The sequence below is a fragment of the Homo sapiens genome, chromosome 12 (assembly GCF_000001405.40).
Source record: "Homo sapiens chromosome 12, GRCh38.p14 Primary Assembly".
Lineage (NCBI taxonomy): Eukaryota > Metazoa > Chordata > Mammalia > Primates > Hominidae > Homo > Homo sapiens.
The window spans coordinates 120725182-120745941 of NC_000012.12; the positions used below are offsets into that span (position 1 = coordinate 120725182).

The window sequence follows — 20760 nt, forward strand, 5'->3', positions numbered from 1 at the left end:
GAGCACCAACACAAGACAGGTCCTTGAGCTTCTCGGAGCGAGTCGGGGAAGCAGATAATTTCAGATGCAAAGTGCCTTGAATAAACAGAACGAAAGATAGAGAGCCAGAGGGGGAGAAACGGCTTGGTGTGGTCAGGGCAGGCATCCATGAGACCTAAACGAAGAGGGGGCATTCCAGACAAAAGGAACAGTGATCACAGAGGCCCCGAGTCAGGAACCAGCTAAGGGTCTTAGAGAAGAGCTGCCTCGTAAAGCTAAGCAACAATAACCAGGGAACGGTGGGCATGGGCCCTGATAGACAAGGCAGGTCTTGGCTTTTTAAGCCATAGAATTGGATTTTAGGAGGGATGGGCCCGCCGACAAAGCCAACAAAGTTTTAACCCGAAGATCGCTATCTTATTTATGCTTTAAAAAGACCTCTCTGGCCTTTCTGCGAAGCTCTATCCTTAGCTTTCTCTTGTTAGCATTTTGATTAACGAATGTGGGCACGAACAGCCAGCTGACCGACCGCGCGCGCAGTCGAGCGTCGGTTCCTCGCCTTGGGAGGGACCACTGGAGGCCCCGCCCCCTGGCCGCGAGCGCACCTCGGCCCCGCTCCCGAGGCCCTACGGGCGTGGCCTCTGTCCCGGGTCCCGCCCCCCAGCACTCCGGAACAGCGCGCTCGCAGCGGGAGGTCGCGAAGCCTGGGACTGTGTCTGTCGCCCATGGCCGCCGCGCTGCTCGCCCGGGCCTCGGGCCCTGCCCGCAGAGGTGAGTGCGCTGGGGATCCGTACGGCGGGGCTTCAGCCCGCGTCTGGCCCAGCGGGCGGAGGTCCTGGCGGCCGGCTCTGTCAGAGCCGCTGGCAGGCGGAGCCCCACTCCGGGAGCGCTCACGGCCTTTGCCCCAGTTCTGCTGCTCCTTGCGCCGACCCAGCCCGGCCCTTCAGGCGTCCCTGGTTCCTGCACAGACCCCTACCCCCCGATTGACCCCAGCCACCAGCCCAGTTCCCAGTTCCCATATCTCCCTCCCTTCATTTCACCCCCACTAGAGGTTCAGGGTGCGTCCTTCTTCCGGAGCCAGGCCTGGGATTGAACCAGACCCGCATCTGTGACCTTGGGCAAGACAGCCCCTCCTCAGCCTCGGTTGGCCCATGTGTAAAATGTCCACAGAGAAAATCAGAGTTGTTGGGAGGATTAAATCATAGGGTATGTAAAGCACTTCGTGCCTGGCGTGTAACAGGTGTTCCACAAATGCTCGTTCTTGCTGGTTAATACAGTACCTTTCCCATCTTACGTGTCTCCAGTTGTAGCAGCCGTGACACATATAGCCACGGCTTCCTTTGCCTGGCCTGAATTACAAGGGGAACGCTACTGAGAACTGTGTTAAGCGCTAGTTAGTCTTTCTTTCGCACTCCGAGGAGCGGAATACTATTCGCCTCCACTTGTTATAGAAACGGAGGCTCACTGACGTTTAAAACCCTTGCCTAAGGTCACAGAGCTGAGGTCTTATTACTGTTGGTATTATACTGAGGACTGAAGGATGTAGTGTATGGAAATGTCTAGTGAGTGTACTAAGCATTCAGTTAGTATGGGGTTTTCAGTGGCCGCCATGGACATTTTGGGCTGACAGTTCTTTGTTGTGGGGGCTGTCCTCTGCCTTGTTGGATGTTCAGCAGGGATCCCGGACCCCTATCCACTGGGTACCAATAGTATTCCCCTGCTCTAGTTGTGACAACTAGAACTGGCTCCAGACATTGCCAGATGTCCCTTGGAGGGCAAAATCCTCCCTGGTGAGTTAGTGGGTCACTAGGATTCTTGGAGACCTCCTGCCTCCTCCTTCCACTCACTTCTGCCCTTGCCGGCAGCTCTCTGTCCTAGGGCCTGGCGGCAGTTACACACCATCTACCAGTCTGTGGAACTGCCCGAGACACACCAGATGTTGCTCCAGACATGCCGGGACTTTGCCGAGAAGGAGTTGTTTCCCATTGCAGCCCAGGTGGATAAGGAACATCTCTTCCCAGCGGCTCAGGTGAGAGTGCAACCTCAGCAGCCCACGATAGTGGTCTGCCCTCTGCTACTGGATGAATGGTGGCAGTGACAGTCAGCGGCACTCGGACTCTGGTAGAGGAACCCCAAAGCAGGGCCTGGAACCCAGAAAATGCTCTGGAAGTTTCCCTTGTCCAGCCTGTGGCCAGTAGCCAGGACTTAACTTCTGGGACAACAGTAATATGTGGTGGATGGTCAGTTGCTTACTGTGCCAGCCACTGTGCTCATTCTAAATAGTGCCTTTAGGGTGTTTGGCATGCACTAGGCACTGTTCTTGAGATGGGTTATCTCATCTGTTCCTCACAACGGTCCTGTGAGGTGAAGGTACTATTCTTATTTATTTTTTTGAGACGGAGTTTCACTCTTGTGGCTCAGGCTGGAGTGCAATGGTGCGACCTCGCCTCACTGCAGCCTCTGCCTCCTGAGTTCAAGTGATTCTCCTGCCTCAGCCTCCCAAGTAGCTGGGATTATAGGCGTGCACTGCTCTGCCCCGCTACTTTTGTATTTTTAGTAAAGACGGCGTTTCACCATGTTGGCCAGGCTGGTCTCAAACTCCTGAATTCAGGTGATCTGCCCACCTCGGCCTCCCAAAGTGCTGGGATTACAGGTGTGAGACACCACGCCCGGCCAAAGGTAGTATTATTATATACCCCATGGACTCAGACTTGTGAACAAGTTAAATAACATACCCAAGGTCATGGAGCTCATCAGCGGCAGCCTGCTCGACCTATTTTCTTTTTTATTTACTTATTTTTTTTTGAAATGGACTCTCGCTCTGTTGCCCAGGCTGGAGGGCAGTGGCGCAATCTCAACGCACTGCACCCCTCTGCCTCCTGGGTTCAAGCAATTCTCCTGCCTCGGCCCCCAGTAGCTGGGATTACAGGCGGGCACCACCACGCCCAGCTAGTTTTTGTACTTTCAGTAGAGATGGGGTTTCTCCATGTTGGGCAGGCTGGTCTCAAACTCCTGACCTTAGGCGATCTGCCCGCCTTGGCGTCCCAAAGTGCTGGGATTACAGGCGTGAGCCACCGTGCCCGGCCTGCTTGAACTGTTTTCTCCCCTGAGTTTCCCATCAGCGCGCTCCCTCCCGTGCCACTGTGTTCTTCCATTTGCATTCAGTCTGTCTGCAGCTACGCGTTGAAGATGTTACTGCCGTACACGCTGACCTAAAGATGTCCAGCACCTGGTGTAAACACTCAGTAGTAGATAGTTGTTTAATTAATGATTTGTGAAAAGTCAAACCTCTCCGGCCTCTTCTCCTTGCCTGTTTTTTTTTTTAATTTTAATTTTAATTTATTTTTTATTTTTAAAAATTTTTTGAGACAGTCTTGCTCTGTCACCAGGTTGGAGTGCAGTGGCGCGATCTCGGCTCACTGCAACCTCCGCCTTCTGAGTTCAAACAATTGTTTCCTGCCTCAGCCTCCCGAGTAGCTGGGATTACAGGCGCACACCACCATACCCGGCTAATTTTATGTATTTTAGTAGAGACGGGGTTTCACCGTGTTGCCCAGGCTGGTCTCAAACTCCTGAGCTCAGGCAATCCACCCGCCTCGGCCTCGCAAAGTGCTGGGATTACAGGCGTGAGCCACCACACCCGGCCTTAAAAATGAGTTTTAAAAGGGACGTAAAACATTGTTTTTATATGAGGGACCCACTAACCGTTTCCCAGATATGAAGGCAGCAGGTGCTGCAGGCTTGCCTTGTCTGTCACTGCTGGGAAAGGGGTCTTACAGTTTCTTACGGTTTCTCTTGGGAGTCTGGAGACCACCAGGCTCAGCCTCATCAGTGCTGTTGCCTCTTCTCAGGGTGCAGGTCAGGGTTGCTGGGTCACAGACACTAGGAACCAAGAGTGACCATTGCAGGGGGCTCTAGGAGGCCACCCCTTGAGATAGCTCTGAAGGTCAGGCCTCTCTGTAGAAAATACTAAAATATTGGGGCTGGGACGGGCGCCTGGCTGCTGTTAGTTAATTACCATCAATTTACATAGGTCAGAAACGATGGACAAACCCGAACCCATTTTTTTCCCTTGACTGCTTCTCTTTTTCTTTTTTCTTTTTTTTTTTTTTTTTGAGATGGAGTCTCACTCTGTCCCCCAGGCTGGAGTGCAGTGGTGCGATCTTGGCTCACTGCAGCCTCTGTCTCCCAGGTTCAAGTGATTATCCTGCCTCAGCCTCCCAGGTAGCTGGTACTACAGGTGCCCGCCACCATGCCTGGCTAATTTTTGTATTTTTAGTAGAGATGGGGTTTCACCATGTTGGCCAGGCTGGTCTTGAACTCCTGACCTCAGGTGACCTGGCTGCCTCAGCCTCCCAAACTGCTGGGATTACAGGTGTGAGCCACTGCTTAATTATATTTTGGGTTTCTCCTTTTTGACTGTCTCGTCTCTTCCCTCTCCTGCCACCCCTTTTTCCTTCCCTCGGTGCTGGTCTCCCTGTCTCTTTTTCAGGAGGCCCTTTAACGAGTGCACATTACCATGGTTATTGCTTTTGTCCCCACTTTTTTTCTAGAATGTTCCTGTAGCTGGCCACAGTTTGTTGCCTGAAATCTAGAGATAAATTTCAGAGTGAGAAGGCCTGGGAAACAGCCCCTGTCACCACTGATAAAATGGGGTGAGGTGACTGTGTCCAGGCTCTGGGATGGGATGGAGAAGGCTGTGCTCTTAGGTGCTGCCCCAGAGCGGTGCTCCTCTCTTTTGAAATTTGCTGTCTCAACACCAGAGTGGGAGTGAGTGGAACTGCCATGTCTTTCACAGCCACAGGTAGATGCTTTATTTTTTAAATTATTTTTGTGTGTGTGTGATGGAGTCTCGCTCTGTCCCCAGGCTGGAGTACAGTGGTGCGATCTCGGCTCACTGTAGCCTTTGCCTCCTGGGTTCAAGCAATTTTCCTGCCTCAGCCTCCCAAGTAGCTGGAACTACAGGTGCGCACCACCACACCCGGCTAATTTTTGTCTTTTTAGTAGAGACGGGGTTTCACCATGTTGGCCAGGCTGGTCTCGAACTCTTGACTTTGTTATCCGCCCGCCTGGGCCTCCCAAAGTTCTGGGATTACAGGCATGAGCCACCGCGCCCAGCTGGTAGATGCTGTAAAAGAAAATGCTGATGGTGAGAAAGGAGGGAAGACAGGAGCTGGGGGAAAATTGAGGGCGATGGTATATGCTAGTGAGGTCCTTTGGGTGTGGGAATTGTGAATTCCTACAACTTTTGATTCTAGCTCATTGAGAAGTGTCGCATTAGTCAGAGGGAGGCGGCGCTGTGTAGGGAGGAGGAGGCTGGGGTTCTGTCTTGCCTCCTGGTGGCCTAGACCTGGCCACTGACACCACATACCCTTTCTGTGTGAATTCCCTCATCTGTAAGAGGAATATGGGGTCACCCTCATTCTGCTACCTGTCGGGACGTGTGACCAAGCATTTTAGGTGAGTATGAGGAACTGAACGCACCTAGGAGAGTTTCATCCTTTTACTCTCTTTCTGGGAATTTGGGTTCCCACTGTGTTTCTGGGGATGAGATGGAGTTATGGAGCGATTGGCTCATGTGCCATTTATTCCAGGGTTTTATACCAACAAGTTCCGGGGTGAAAAGGAGGGTGTGTCTCTGTCCAGGGAGATCTGAAGGTGCTTGGAGGGTGAGGCGGCTTGAGCTAGTTTAGCCTTATTCTGTTTTGCTGGTAAGCTAGAGAAAAAGGCTTTTGGTGAGGTTCATGCCTAGGCCTGACCGTGAGTCTTGGACAACTGCATATTTATTTTTGTTTTTGTTTTTTTGAGACAGGGCCTCACTGTCGCCCAGGCTGGAGTGCAGTGACACAAACACAGCTCACTGCAGCCTTGACCTCCCGGGCTCAGGGCTCAAGTGATCCTCATGCCTCACCTCCTGCAGTAGCTGGGACCACAGGTGTGCACCGCCATGCCTGGCTCATTTATTTTTATTTTTATAACTTTTTGTGGAGATGGGGGTCTCGCCATGTTGATGAAGCTGGTCTCAAACGCCTGGACTCAGATGATCCTCCTACCTCCGTCTCCCAAAGTGCTGGGATTACAGGCCTGAGCTACCACACCCTCTTTTTAAAATTTTTTTAATTAAAAAATTTTCTTTTAGAAACAGGGGTATCATCATGTTGGCCAGGCTGGATTTGAACGCCTGGGCTCAAGTGATTCTCCTGCCTCAACCTCCTCCTGAGTAGCTGGAGACCTGCGTATTTCTAGCACTTGGTAGAGTATTGTCCAGCAGCAGAGGTGTTCCTTAATAAAATAGTTTTTTTTTTTTTTTTTGAGGCGGAGTCTCACTCTGTTGCCCAGGCTGGAGTATAGTGGCACGATCTTGGCTCACTGCAACCTCCACCTCCTGGGTACAAATGATTCTCCTGTCTCAGCCTCCCAAGTAGCTGGGATTATAGGCGCCCACCATCACGCCTGGCTAATTCTTGTATTTATTTTATTTTATTTTATTTTTTTTATTGATCATTCTTGGGTGTTTCTCGCAGAGGGGGATTTGGCAGGGTCATAGGACAATAGTGGAGGGAAGGTCAGCAGATAAACAAGTGAACAAAGGTCTCTGGTTTTCCTAGGCAGAGGACCCTGCGGCCTTCCGCAGTGTTTGTGTCCCTGGGTACTTGAGATTAGGGAGTGGTGATGACTCTTAAGGAGCATGCTGCCTTCAAGCATCTGTTTAACAAAGCACATCTTGCACCGCCCTTAATCCATTTAACCCTGAGTGGATACAGCACATGTTTCAGAGAGCACAGGGTTGGGGGTAAGGTCATAGATCAACAGCATCCCAAGGCAGAAGAATTTTTCTTAGTACAGAACGAAATGAAGTCTCCCATGTCTACTTCTTTCTACACAGACACAGCAACCATCCGATTTCTCAATCTTTTCCCCACCTTTCCCCCTTTTCTATTCCACAAAACTGCCATCGTCATCATGGCCTGTTCTCAATGAGCTGTTGGGTACACCTCCCAGACGGGGTGGTGGCCGGGCAGAGGGGCTCCTCACTTCCCAGTACGGGCGGCCGGGCAGAGGCGCCCCTCACCTCCCGGACGGGGCGGCTGGCCGGGCGGGGGCTGACCCCCACCTCCCTCCCGGACGGGGCGGCTGGCCGGGCGGGGGCTGCCCCCAACCTCCCTCCCGGACGGGGTGGCTGCCGGACGGGGTGGCTGCCGGGCGGAGACGCTCCTCACTTCCCAGACGGGGTGTCTGCTGGGCGGAGGGGCTCCTCACTTCTCAGACGGGGTGGCTGCCAGGCAGAGGGGCTCCTCACTTCTCAGATGGGGTGGCTGCCGGGCGGAGGGGCTCCTCACTTCTCGGGGCGGGCAGGCAGAGACACTCCTCACCTCCCAGACGGGGTGGCGGTCGGGCAGAGACACTCCTCAGTTCCCAGACGGGGTCGCGGCCGGGCAGAGGCGCTCCTCACATCCCAGACGGGGCAGTGGGGCAGAGGCGCTCCCCACATCTCAGACGATGGGCGGCCGGGCAGAGACGCTCCTCACTTCCTAGATGGGATGGCGGCCGGGAAGAGGCGCTCCTCACTTCCCAGACTGGGCAGCCGGGCAGAGGGGCTCCTCACATCCCAGACGATGGGCGGCCAGGCAGAGACGCTCCTCATTTCCCAGACGGGGTGGCGGCCGGGCAGAGACTGCAATCTCGGCACTTTGGGAGGCCAAGGCAGGCGGCTGGGAGGTGGAGGTTGTAGCGAGCTGAGATCAAGCCACTGCACTCCAGCCTGGGCAACATTGAGCACTGAGTGAACGAGACTCCGTCTGCAATCCCGGCACCTCGGGAGGCCAAGGCTGGCAGATCACTCCTGGTTAGGAGCTGGAGACCAGCCTGGCCAACACAGCGAAACCCCGTCTCCACCAAAAAAATACGAAAACCAGTCAGGCGTGGCGGCGCGCGCCTGCAATCGCAGGCACTCGGCAGGCTGAGGCAGGAGAATCAGGCAGGGAGGTTGCAGTGAGCAGAGATGGCGGCAGTACAGTCCAGCTTCGGCTCGGCATCAGAGGGAGACCGTGGAAAGAGAGGGAGAGGGAGACCGGGGGGAGAGGGAGAGGGAGAGGGAGAGGGAGAATCCTTGTATTTTTAGTAGAGACGGGGTTTTACCATGTTGGCCAGGCTGGTCTCGAACTCCTGACCTCAGGTGATCCACCTGCCTCAGCTACCAAAGTGCTGGGAATACAAGCATGAGCCACTGCGCCTGGCAAAGTACTCTGAAGTGTGGGCTAGAAAAGTGTTCTGTTCAGAGGCCATGTGTGTGCTGCCGCAGGTCTGTGTCTCCAGGTCCTCTTCCTAGTGAAAAGCACTCTCTCACTTGGACTTCCCCTTCCCTAGTTGGTTCCTGCCTGCTGAAATGGTGCCTGCTGAAATGGTGCCTGCTGAAATGGTGCCTGCTGAAATGGTGCCTGCTGAAATGGTGCCTATTCTGAGCAGGACCCCCCTCCCCAGGTGTGTGGCGGCCACAGAACAATCTTCTTTTTAGTAATTCTCAAAATGACACCTCCCTGGTAGCTCTGAGTTCCCATTTGTCACTGTGGATGAGTTTCCTATTGCTGCTGTAACAAATGACCACAAACCCTGTGGCTTAAAGCAATACAGATATATTCTCTGACCATTCAAGACCAGCCTGGGCAACATAGCAAGACCCCATCTCTACCAAAAAAAAAAAAAAAAAATAGAAAAAACAAAACCAAACCATGGCAGCCACTTGAGAAATGCTGTTCACGAGTTACTCAACCCGAGTCAGGCATCCAGTGTGGGTCCCACAGGGCTAAATCAAGGCATCGGCAGGACTGAGTTCCCTCTGCAGGCTCTGGGGAAATCCACTCCTGTCTTTCCCAGTTCTAGAGGCCGCCTGCATTCTTCCCGCCAGAGTTCCTGCCTCTGCTTCCGTCGTCACCTCTCCTTCTCTGAGTCTGTGTCTGTCTTTGCCTTACAAAGACTCTGTGATGACACTGGGTGACTCTGATCATCCAGAATAACCCTCACATCTCCAGACGCTTCACTTACGTGTGCAAAGTCCCTATTGCCACGGAAGGGAACATACTCCTGGGACCTGGGATTAGGATGGGGACATCTTGGGCGGTTGCTGTCATGCTGCCTTCCACACACTGGCCATCTCCTTCCCAGCTTCTCTGCCCTCTGACTGCAGCACAGCATCTGCCTGGGGGCCGCAGAGCTTGATGTGCACTTGTGGGGGTCATAGCTCAAGCCTCTCAGCACACACGTTTATGCCCCACATGTGGTACGTGTGGGAGACTCGGAGATGACGCTCCGCCCCGCACTTAGAGTCTTACAAGTGAGTTTCCCATGGGAACAGTTCAAGGAAGAATCAAATAAGCAATTTCACAGAGGGACACACAGGTTGTCACAGAAGTGCTGCAGGCTCCTAGGTGCCCCCTCTTTTCCATACGTTATTGCCAAAGTAAGAACTAGGCTTGGTGTGGTGGCTCGTGCCTCTAATCAGCATGAGGGAGGCTGAGGCAAGAGGATCACTCGAGCCAGGAGTTCGACACCAGCTTGGGCAACACAGTGACACCCTGTCTCTAAAAAAACAATAATTTTTTTTTTTTTTTTGAGACAGATTCTCGCTCTGTCGCCCAGACTGGAGTGCAGTGGCGTGCTCTCGGTTCACTGCAACCTCTTCCTTCCAGGTTCAAGCAATTCTCCTGCCTCAGCCTCCCGAGTAGCTGGGATTACAGGCACCCGCCACCATGCCTGGCTAGTTTTTATATTTTTGGTAGAGATATGGTTTCACCACGTTGGCCAGGCTGGTCTCGAACTCCTGGCTTCAAATGATCCACCCATTTTGGCCTTCCAAAGTGCTGAGATTCTTTGGGAGGCTGAGGCAGGCGCATCACTTCAGGTCAGAAGTTCGAGAACAGCCTGGCTAATGTGGTGAAACCTGGTCTCTACCAAAAATATAAAAATTAGCCAGGTGTGGTGGCAGGCACCTGTAATCCCAGCTACTCGGGAGGCTGAGGCAGGAGAATCACTTGAACCCAGGAGGTGGAGGTTGCAGTGAGCCGAGACTGTGCCACTGCACTCCAGCCTGGGCAACAAAGTGAGACTCTGTTTCAAAAAAAAAAAAAAAAAAGAAAAAAGAAACAAACAAAGTGCTGGGATTACAGGTGTGAGTCACTGTGCGCAGTCCTTAAAAAAAAAAAAAAAAAAAAAAAAAACAACTTGGCAGCCACTTGATGATAGATGCTGTTCAACAGTACCTCAGCCTGGGCCAGGTGCTGGGCTCTGCCTTTCATGTGTATTATCTCAGTCAGGCCTCAGAACAGTCCTTTGAGGTGAGTACTGTTTTGGGGACGGGGAAGGTAAAACTTTTATATTCACAGGAGTATAGAAAAACAAGAATATATTAGCAAACATTCTTATTAGTTTATGTAAGTCATGGTAGTATAAGAACATGGTTGAGACTAGGTGTGGTGGCTCACACCTGTAATCCCAGCACTTTGGGAGGCCGAGGTGGGTGGATCACGAGGTCGGGAGTTCAAGACCAGCCTGGCCAAGATGGTGAAAACCCGTCTCTACTAAAAATACAAAAATTAGCTGGGCGTGATTATGGGCACCTGTAATCTCAGCTACTCGGTAGGCTGAGGCAGAGAATTGCTTGAACCTGGGAGGAAGAGGTTGCAGTGAGCCGAGATCTGCACTACTGCACTCCAGCCTGGGCAACAGAACAATACTCTGTCACAAAATAAAATAAAATAAAATAAAATAAAATAACATGTTTGCAGGAATGAGATTGTATAAAAGGGCTCGTGAAAAGCAACGGTTCCCTCCCGTCCCCATCCCTGTCCCCGTCCCTGTCCCTGTCCCCGTCCCTGTCCCTGTCCCTGCTCTCCCAGAGATAAGTGGTTTTACTTGTTCCTTTTTGAAGTTAGGTAGATTCTGTGGTCCACATTTCCCATATTACTCACCTGAAAGTAATAATACTATTATTATTATTTTGTTTTTGGTAGAGATGGGGTCTTGCTATGTTGCCCAGACTGGTCTCGAACTCCTGGCCTCAAGCAATCCCCTCACCTTGGTCTCCCAAAGTGCTGGGATTACAGGTGTGATCACTGCTCCTGGCCCACTCTTAATATGATTATTACCCAGAATTAAGAGTCCCAAGCTCTTATCCTTCATTCATTCTCTCACTGGCCTTGGGCATGTAGCAGTGAGCAAGAGCACACACAGTCTGTGCCCTCGTGGTGAAGGCAAAAGACCTTAATCCAGAGAAGCACGTTCATCCCTGAGAAATTCCAGCCGCAGAAGTGCTGCAGGAGAGGGACTGAAGGATTTGACTCAGCGAGGCTGGGGATGGCAGCCCAAAGCAGCGAGGCCTGAGCTGCGATCAGAAGGAGAGGAGGGGCAATAACCAGCTGAGGGATAGGAGGTGGCATGTGCAGAGGCCCTGTGGTGGGGAGGGTGCGTGTGTGTGGATGTGCAGAGGGGGCTGGACGAAGGTCAGTGTGGCTCACGCTGTCCTGCTCCTTACCTCTGAGTTCCCTGAAAGCATCCTGTGCCTTCTGCTTGCTCGCTGCCGTGGCTGTGGACGGAGCGGGGAGCAGGCGTGGAGGCGGGGGCAGGACAGCTTGAATGAGAAGTGCCATCATATAGACCTCAGTGGGACTGGGTCTTCAGCTTCTGGACTTGGGGATCCCTTGTGCGTGGCTGGGGTCACATGGCCTGAGTTTCTGCAGGGCACTGCCTCGGGGGCAGGAGGGTTTGGGCTTGGGGAGGGTGGGCTCGCCCCCGGCAGCTGCCCATGGCGTGCCGTCCTTCCCTGTGCCCAGGTGAAGAAGATGGGCGGGCTTGGGCTTCTGGCCATGGACGTGCCCGAGGAGCTTGGCGGTGCTGGCCTCGATTACCTGGCCTACGCCATCGCCATGGAGGAGATCAGCCGTGGCTGCGCCTCCACCGGAGTCATCATGAGTGTCAACAACGTGAGCCCCCTCCCAGGCCCCTGGGACACACGGGTGGAGGGAGGCTCCCGTGAGCGGGCAGGCTCTGGCCTCGGCTCCCAGCCCTGATCTCTCTGGAGACGTCACAGGCCTTGGTCCTACTGGGTAGGCCCTGGACAGAACAGGCCCTGAGGTGCAGCCCGCAGGTGGGCAGGATGCGCCTGGGCCTGGGGCCTCCGACCGCTCCCCGCTGTCCTCCTAGTCTCTCTACCTGGGGCCCATCTTGAAGTTTGGCTCCAAGGAGCAGAAGCAGGCGTGGGTCACGCCTTTCACCAGTGGTGACAAAATTGGCTGCTTTGCCCTCAGCGAACCAGGTACCTGCCCTGTCCCCTCACCTGTCCTTAGGGTGACAGGCCCAGAGGGGAGGAGAGGAAGGTGCTAGGCCAACTGCCCACTGCTTCGGAGGCCAGAGGGGAGGCTCCCCGTGTGGTTGGTAGGGTGAGCGCTCTTGCCACCGCGGCGCTGGGAGGAAGATTGCCTTCGGGGTCCCCTGGTTTAAGACGCCAGCTCCTGCACACCCCCCTCGCCCTCTGGTCCCATCACTGAGAGCTTTGGGACCCTCATCTTTGGAGCCCGAGTCATAGGGTTTCGTGTCTGCCAGCAGGGGTGTGGAGGGAGTGAGGCTGGTGCCCTTAGGTTGTGTGGGGTGGGGCGTGCGCTGAGCCCTGGGTCTGTGTGGGCAGGGAACGGCAGTGATGCAGGAGCTGCGTCCACCACCGCCCGGGCCGAGGGCGACTCATGGGTTCTGAATGGAACCAAAGCCTGGATCACCAATGCCTGGGAGGCTTCGGCTGCCGTGGTCTTTGCCAGCACGGACAGAGCCCTGCAAAACAAGGTGGGCCCACCCAGAGAGGGGTTCAGCCGGATCCTGGGCTGCTGTCATTTCTGTTTCTAGGGCCTTCTCTCCTTGGCCCGACTGGACCTATTTTTGCTCTGGGGCAAGTGGGCTGTCCCTGTCCCTCCTCAGCTGCCACTGAAGCCTGCACCTTCCCCAGAAGCCGGCAGAGGGTGTCAAGGCCTGAGCTTCTGAGGGAGGTGGGGAGGGGACCGGGTTGGTGTTGGGTGTGCTGGTGTGAGGGTGTGGCTGAGGGGCAGCTCTGAGAAAACCACCCGCCTCTCCTTTCAGGGCATCAGTGCCTTCCTGGTCCCCATGCCAACGCCTGGGCTCACGTTGGGGAAGAAAGAAGACAAGCTGGGCATCCGGGGCTCATCCACGGCCAACCTCATCTTTGAGGACTGTCGCATCCCCAAGGACAGCATCCTGGGGGAGCCAGGGATGGGCTTCAAGATAGCCATGGTGAGCCCGGCAGTGGGGGTGGCACCTTGAGGCCAGGCCCGCGCCCCGGCTGGCGGGCCACTGACCAGGGCGGTCCCCACAGCAAACCCTGGACATGGGCCGCATCGGCATCGCCTCCCAGGCCCTGGGCATTGCCCAGACCGCCCTCGATTGTGCTGTGAACTACGCTGAGAATCGCATGGCCTTCGGGGCGCCCCTCACCAAGCTCCAGGTCATCCAGGTAATGGTGGCAGCTTTAGGAGCTGGGCCTAGAGGCTGGACAGCGGGCGGAGAGTGTGGCCTCCTGACTGCTCTCCGTCCTCCTCCCCCTCCCTTCTGTCCCCTGGAGGGGCAGCTGCTGACCTGTGGTGTGGGGTGGGGCTATTGCAGTTCAAGTTGGCAGACATGGCCCTGGCCCTGGAGAGTGCCCGGCTGCTGACCTGGCGCGCTGCCATGCTGAAGGATAACAAGAAGCCTTTCATCAAGGTGCCCACAGGGGTCCCCGAGCCATGGCCCAGAATGTGGTGGGCCCAGGGACGGGGAGAGGTTGGGGCGGGTCTCTGCTCCTTGGCCCCGTGGGTCAGAGGTGTGGGCCTGGGGTTTACAGCCCCATGGGGAGGCTCCACAGGCCTCCCCTGCTGAGGGAGTGGGGGAGCAGGGGATGGAGGGGTCCCCTCAAGGGAAGGCTCTGACTGTACCCCCATGTTTAGGAGGCAGCCATGGCCAAGCTGGCCGCCTCGGAGGCCGCGACCGCCATCAGCCACCAGGTGAGTGTCCACAGTGAGCTCTGAGGGGGCCAGCTGCCCCTTCTCCAGCTTTCCCCACGCCGGGGTCTTCTCCCTCCTGAGCCACTGTTCTCATCTCAGGCCATCCAGATCCTGGGCGGCATGGGCTACGTGACAGAGATGCCGGCAGAGCGGCACTACCGCGACGCCCGCATCACTGAGATCTACGAGGGCACCAGCGAAATCCAGCGGCTGGTGATCGCCGGGCATCTGCTCAGGAGCTACCGGAGCTGAGCCCGCGGCGGACTGCCCCAGGACTGCGGGAAGGCGCGGGAGCCAGGGGCCTCCACCCCAACCCCGGCTCAGAGACTGGGCGGCCCGGCGGGGGCTCCCTGGGGACCCCAGATGGGCTCAGTGCTGCCACCCAGATCAGATCACATGGGAATGAGGCCCTCCGACCATTGGCAGCTCCGCCTCTGGGCCTTTCCGCCTCCTCACCACTGTGCCTCAAGTTCCTCATCTAAGTGGCCCTGGCCTCCTGGGGGCGGGGTTGTGGGGGGGCTGAGCGACACTCAGGGACACCTCAGTTGTCCTCCCGCGGGCCCTGGTGCCCTGGCATGAAGGCCCAGTGCGACAGGCCCTTGGTGGGGTCTGTCTTTTCCTTGAGGTCAGAGGTCAGGAGCAGGGCTGGGGTCAGGATGACGAGGCCTGGGGTCCTGGTGTTGGGCAGGTGGTGGGGCTGGGCCATGGAGCTGGCCCAGAGGCCCCTCAGCCCTTTGTAAAGTCTGATGAAGGCAGGGGTGGTGATTCATGCTGTGTGACTGACTGTGGGTAATAAACACACCTGTCCCCCAGTCTGTGTCCTCGCCCTCTCCTGGGTGCTCCGGGGAGGGATGGTGGTCTCTGCACAGAGTCCTGCTCTCTGACAGTCTCACCCTGTGAGTGTTGGGGGTCTTGGGGAGGGGCCTGGCCACCTGGGAGGTTCCTGAGTTCCGGCAGAGGCCAGATTGGCCAAGGAGGCAGTTCAGGAATAGGAACTGGGTCCTGCAGGCCTCAGGGAGTGGCCCCTGGGGAGGGAGGGTGGGCCAGGCAGGGCCAGTGGGCTAGAAGGGGTTCTCTACGCAGGACCAGCCTCCAGGCAGGAGGAAGGAAGGCCCCAGATTGCCAGAGTCGGGGAGCAAAGCTGTGGAGGCCTCGAGCCCCAGGTGGGAGAACACAGAACCTCGAGAAGCAGCCATTGTGCTCACTAGCGCGCTCGGGGGCGGCCCTGGCCAGCCAGTGCGGGGGCTTGCCCTGGTCCTGGTGCCTGCAGGGCTTTCTCTGGGCAAAGGTGCCCCTGAAGCCAAGGTCCAAGCTCTTAACCCTCTGGGCCAGTGTCGATCTCAGCAGCTGGAAGAGAAAACAGTGAGCAAAGAAAGATTTCAAAGGAGGTGGGGACAGCCCTCCGCCGGGCAGGCAGGGCAGAGAGTCAAACTGGCATTGCTGGGAGGTCTCTGGAGGGAAGCGGGAGGGAGACGGTGACTTTAGGAGCTGTCATCAAAGGGGCGCCCAGGGACCCTGAGCCCCTGTTGGGGATGGATTTTTTTTTAGAGACAGAATCTCACTGTCACCCAGGCAGGAGTGCAGTGGCACAACCACAGCTTATCAGAACCTCAACCTCCCAGGCTCAAGTGATCCTCCCGTCTCGGCCTCCCAGGTAACTGGGACTACAGGTGCACACTACCATGGCCAGCTAATTTTTAAATTTTTTGTAGAGATGGGGTCTTGCTTTGTTGCCCAGGCTGGTCTTGAACTCCTGGGCTCAAGTGATCCTCCCACCTCGGCCTCCCAAGTGGGATTTCTGTGCCAGGTGCTGGTGCCCCGCAGCCGAAGGATCCAGCCTGGAGCTGCTGCTCTGCAGGGCAGCTCTGCCCTTGACCCCGCCCTGACCTGGGCCTGGTCCAGGGCCCCGGGGAATAGGAGTGCGCTTCTTTGAGCGAATTTAGGTCCTGATTTACCCCACAGGCAGGGTGTGCGCAGAGCCCACGGGTAGTGTGTTCCCTGCTAACGAGGCACACCTGTGGCTTCTGGGAAGCGCGTCCTCCTGGGCTCCCGAGGTCAGTGGCGTCCTGCGCAGTCTGCAGAAGTTTGGGTCCCTGGGCTTTCCTCCTGGCTCCAGGTAAGTGCCGCCTGCAGAAGTTTGGGTCCCTGGGCTTTCCTCCTGGCTCCAGGTAAGTGCCGCAGGGTCTTGGCTCCTGGCTCACACTCTCTCGGGGTCTCCTGATCTGCTCCTGTCCCTGCCCTGGGCTCAGGTGCAAGCCAAAGGTAGCAGAGCAGAGGGGGACCCAGGATGCTTCCAGAAGCAGCGCATTTGAGCCCTTCCACCTGGGGGCAGATGAAGGCCTGTCATTCCCTGTCCCCATGAGCCCGGGGACAGTGGGGAGGGGGTGTTTGGAGGCGCTGTGCCCCCGCCCGGCGAGGCAGCGCTGCTCCTGACGCAGATGCGGCGTGGGGTTGAGGTTGTCTTTGGGCCCTTCCTCCAGGTGATGGGGGAGAGGAACCCAAACAGCATTCATCCCAGGCTGGGGACCTGGCTGTCTTGGCTGGAGTTCAGGCCCCTCAGCTCCCCTGCCCTACCCGCTGAGAAGGGTCTGGGCCCTGGAGGGTCAAAGGTAGCCGACTTGAGCCACACCGCTCCCAGCAGGGCAGAGGGCTGGAGTCAGCACAGGCCGAGTGGCAGCCCTGGAGGGGTTTCTGCTTCTCAGACCTGCCCAGGGCTCGTTCAGGTGGCCACGAAGAGCCTTTCCAGGAAGTGCAGCCTCGGAGGCCTGGGGTCCTCCATTTCAGATGAAGCAACCCAGGCTCCGACCCAAGAGCCAGTCTGTGCACTCGGGGGCTTTGAGGTGCCGTCGTGGGTCCGGGGTCTGTCCTTCGGTGAGGGAGAGTCGGCACAAACCCTTGGCTTTGACGGGGTGCTGCCCGTTAGTGGAAGCTCCTCCTAACTTAGAACTGAATGTGGACTCTGCCCCCGGGCCACTGGAGCCCGAACTGTCCTAGAGCCCATGCCCCTCTGGATACAGTTTCCTCAGTGTAGATTTCCTAAGGACAAGGACGTTCACTTACAGAACAACAGGACCGTTTCCCACCCTGGTCAACTTTCACATCTGCACACTCCACTCGGATTGTGCCAGCTGGCACGGTGTCTGCGAAGTCAGCTCTTCTCAAGGTCCAGGGGCCTGCATTGCATGTAGCTGAGAGGCCACCTGTTTCCTTCCCTCTAGCCCTCTGGGACAAGTTCTCCATGCTTTGGTTCTTTTTTTTTTTTTTTTTGGAGATGGAGTCTCGCTCTGTTGCCAGGCTGGAGTACAGTGGCGCAATCTCGGCTCACCGCAGCCTCCACATCCCGGTTTCAAGCGATAAAGCGATTCTCCTGCCTCAGCCTCCCGAGTAGCTGGGGTTACAGGCATGCGCCACCACGCCTGGCTAATTTTTGTATTTTTAGTAGAGACGGGCTTTCATCATGTTGGCCAGGCTGGTCTTGAACTCCTGACCTCAGGTGATCCGCCCGCCTCGGCCTCCCAAAGTTCTGGGATTACAGGCGTGGGCCACCATGCCTGGCCTGAATTCATACATTTCTAAGTGTGGCTTTTGCTTCATCTCATACATTTTAGTGTCATATTTTCCTTATTACTCAGTTTTCTGAGGCCCATTGTGCTTTCTATTTTGATTTATCAGTTATTTAGGAGAGTATTATTATGTTTTGAGACAGGGTCTCTTCTCGCTTGGGCTGGAGTGTAGTGGTATAATCGCAGCTCACCACAGCCTTGACCTCCCAGGCTCAGGTGGGCCTCTTACCTCAGCCTCCCAAGTGGATGGGACTACAGGCGCCACCACACCTGGCTATTTTTTGTATTTTTAGTAGAGATGGGGTTTCACCATCTCTACTAAACATGTGACCAGCCCAGGCTAGTCTCAAACTCTTGGGCTCAAGTGATCTGCCCGCCTTGGCCTCCCAGAGTTCTGGGATTACAGGTGTGAGTCACCATGCCTGGCCAAAGAGTATTATTTTATTAATATGGGGTTTTCTGAGGTATTTTTTGTTAATGATTTTTAAAAACTGTGACGGAGTTTACAGTTTTAACCATTTTCAAGTGTACACTCAGTGGCATTAGGACATTCATCATGTTATGCAACCATTGCCACCATCTAGTTCCAGAACATTCTCATCACCCCAGCAGGAAACTCCATACCTACTGTTGCTGGTTTTTACCTTAATTGCATTGTGGTCTCAGCACATTTTCTGCACTATTTGAATTTTTTGAAATCTGTTGAGATGTGCTTCACGGCACTAAGTTACTTTTTATGAAGATTGAATATTAGCAATTTGGTTTTTCCATGTTGATACGTGAAGTTCTAGTTCATTTATGTGGATGGCTGCATGGTGTCCCATGGGATAAACTATATTGAGGTAGTTTCCTGCTTTTTACTCTATAAACCATGATGCAGTGGACATTCTGGCATGTGTGTTTTTCTAATGTGAGAACTTGTGAGCATTTAAATCGAAGTGGGCTTGCTGGGCCTTAAGGCTGTTTATTTCTTCAGCTTCGCCAGATATTGCCAAATGGCCCTCCAGAGGTTGGATCAGTGGTCGGATCACCCTCTATGCATATGCGAGGGTTGATGACGCGCATTCTCCCCGTTCCTTGGCACCCACAGATTTTACAAACGTTCTTCAATATGGTTGTGATTTTAACTTGCATCTCCCTGGTTTCTTGAGAAACTGCACGTCTTTTCACGTGGTGATTGGTCATTCTGGTTTCTGCTGTGAATTGCTATTGTCTGTTTCTTCTTTGGGTTGTAATTGATTTGTAATTGTCCCACGTGTTTACTCTTGATACTAATCATTTGTCAGATATCTGGTTGCAAAAGGACTCATACAGTGTGTGGTTTTCCCTTTATTTATTATTTTTTTTTGAGACAGAGTCTCGCTCTGTAGCCCAGGCTGGAGTGCAGTGGTGTGATCTTGGCTCACTGCAAGCTCCACCTCCTGGGTTCACGCCATTCTCCTGCCTCAGCCTCCGGAGTAGCTGGGACTACAGGCACCCACCACCACACCCGGCTAATTTTTTGTATTTTTAGTAGAGACGGAGTTTCACCGTGTTAGCCAGGATGGTCTCGATCTCCTGAACTCATGATCGGCCCGCCTTGGCCTCCCAAAGTGTTGGGATTACAGGCGTAACGCACCGCACCCAGCCTTCCCTTTTAAAAAATGGGTTCAGCCAGGTGCGGTGGCTCACGCCTGTAATCCCAGCACTTTGGGAGGCGGAGGCGGGTGGATCACCTGAGGTCAGGAGTTCGAGAACAGCCTGGCCAACATGGCAAAACCCCATCTCTACTAAAAATACAAAATTAGCCAGGCATGGTGGTGTGCGCCTGTAATCCCAGCTACTCGGGAGACTGAGGCAGGAGAATCGCTTGAACCTGGGAGGTGGAGGTTGCAGTGAGTGGAGATTGTGCCACTGCACTCCAGCCTGGGCAACAGAGCAAGACTCATCTTAGGAAAAGAAAATTTTAAAAAATACAGTTTAGTAGAAGGAATACGTTCTAGTGTTCACACAATATGGTGATTATTGTTATCAGTATTTTTTGTATATTTCAAAACAACTAGAAGATTTAGTATGTTCTCAACACAAAGAAGCGATAGATGTTTGAGGTGATGGATACCCAGTTACCCTGATTTGATCATTAAACATTTTATGCATGGATCAAAATATCACACGTACCCCATAAATATGTACAATTATTGTGTATCAGGTTAAAAAAAAAAAAGGCTCTTATGTGTAGCAGAAGGGCAGACATGGTGCAGGCAGGCCAGAGACCTAACAGGAATTTGCAGAGCTCCAGAGCCTGAAGACTCAGCCCCGGCAGATTGCTTAGGCCAAGGGCAGGGGCGTGGGAAGGAAAACCTGGCATCCGGAAAACGGAGCCATCTGAACGGATGCCCCTGATGCTGCTCTCCAGCCCAAACTCTCCAGGGTGCAGAGGGTGGCTGCCTCTCCATAGGAAGGTGAGGGCTTCTGCTACTGGAAGAGTCTGCGGAAGCCGCTCCCAACAAGGCCACAGGTGCCCCTCTGCAGCGGCCCTCACCTCCTCTCCTGGCTGCCGGGCCCATGACTGCGGTCGAAGCCCAGTGTCACCCAGCTGGGGACAGGCTGGAGCTGATGAGAAAGCGACGCTACACTGGTATTGGTTTTCTACTCTAGCAACACATCACTACACGCTTAGTGGCTTGAAGAAATACCCATCTTAAAGGGCCAGGCACAGCAGCTCAGCCCTGTAATCTCAGCTCTTCGGGAGGCCGAGGTGGGAGGATGGCTTGAGCCCAGGAGTTCAAGAGCAGCCTGGGCAACACAGGGAGAGCCCATCTCTACAAAAAATAAAAAATAAATTAGCTGGACGCAGTGCCGCATATCTAGAGTCCTAGCTACACAGGAGGCCAAGGAGGGAAGATCACCTGAGGCCAGGGATGCAAGACCAGCCTAGGCAACATAGTGAGACCCTGTCTCTACAAAAAAAAAAAAATTAGCCAGGCTCAGTGATGCATGCCTGTACTCCCAGCTACTTGGGAGGTTAAATTAGGAGGATCACATGAACCCAGGAGTTCGAGGCTACAGCGAGCTGAGATTACACCACTGCACTCCAGCCTGGGCAGCAGAGCAAGGCCCTGTCAAAAAACCAAAAAAAAAAAAAAACCAAAAAAACAAACCCATCTCATAGTTTTCATGGTTCAGGAGTCTGGGCGTGGCTT

General features: G+C 54.7%; 1 protein-coding gene across 2 annotated transcripts, besides 4 other annotated features; it reads left to right on the forward strand.

Annotated features, from left to right (window-relative positions):
- Positions 317–818: an enhancer, noted in NCBI's record as "H3K27ac hESC enhancer chr12:121163301-121163802 (GRCh37/hg19 assembly coordinates)". NCBI's record gives its function as "activates a minimal SCP1, AML or CMV promoter by ChIP-STARR-seq in naive H9 embryonic stem cells {active_cell/tissue: H9 hESC(naive)}" and the evidence as "EXISTENCE:reporter gene assay evidence [ECO:0000049][PMID:30033119]".
- Positions 317–964: a biological region, named in NCBI's record as "H3K27ac hESC enhancer GRCh37_chr12:121163301-121163802".
- Positions 455–964: a silencer, noted in NCBI's record as "silent region_4966". NCBI's record gives its function as "represses an Ori minimal core promoter by ATAC-STARR-seq in GM12878 lymphoblastoid cells {active_cell/tissue: GM12878}" and the evidence as "EXISTENCE:reporter gene assay evidence [ECO:0000049][PMID:35858748]".
- On the forward strand, positions 645–14827 carry ACADS (acyl-CoA dehydrogenase short chain). 2 transcript variants are annotated; one of them, NM_000017.4, is made up of 10 exons: positions 645–750; positions 1845–2008; positions 11805–11954; positions 12175–12286; positions 12656–12807; positions 13099–13269; positions 13352–13489; positions 13639–13734; positions 13959–14015; positions 14115–14827. In NM_000017.4, exons 1-10 carry the CDS (start codon positions 705–707, stop codon positions 14265–14267), a joined length of 1239 nt encoding a protein of 412 aa, NP_000008.1. In that variant the 5' UTR covers positions 645–704; the 3' UTR covers positions 14268–14827. The 2 variants fall into 2 exon arrangements, with proteins under 2 accessions (NP_000008.1, NP_001289483.1); NM_001302554.2 differs by lacking the exon at positions 12656–12807 and adding an exon at positions 12868–13007.
- Positions 13357–14062: an enhancer, noted in NCBI's record as "H3K4me1 hESC enhancer chr12:121176341-121177046 (GRCh37/hg19 assembly coordinates)". NCBI's record gives its function as "activates a minimal SCP1, AML or CMV promoter by ChIP-STARR-seq in naive H9 embryonic stem cells {active_cell/tissue: H9 hESC(naive)}" and the evidence as "EXISTENCE:reporter gene assay evidence [ECO:0000049][PMID:30033119]".

What these genes read in the sequence shown, in the direction of transcription:
- ACADS (NM_000017.4), top strand. Translation starts at nt 705, where the DNA reads ATGGCCGCCGCGCTGCTCGCCCGGGCCTCGGGCCCTGCCCGCAGAG. An exon ending in CTCGGGCCCTGCCCGCAGAG is followed by an intron (nt 751 to 1,844) that starts GTGAGTGCGCTG and finishes CCTTGCCGGCAG; the next exon opens with CTCTCTGTCCTAGGGCCTGG. An exon ending in ACAAGAAGCCTTTCATCAAG is followed by an intron (nt 13,735 to 13,958) that starts GTGCCCACAGGG and finishes CCCCATGTTTAG; the next exon opens with GAGGCAGCCATGGCCAAGCT.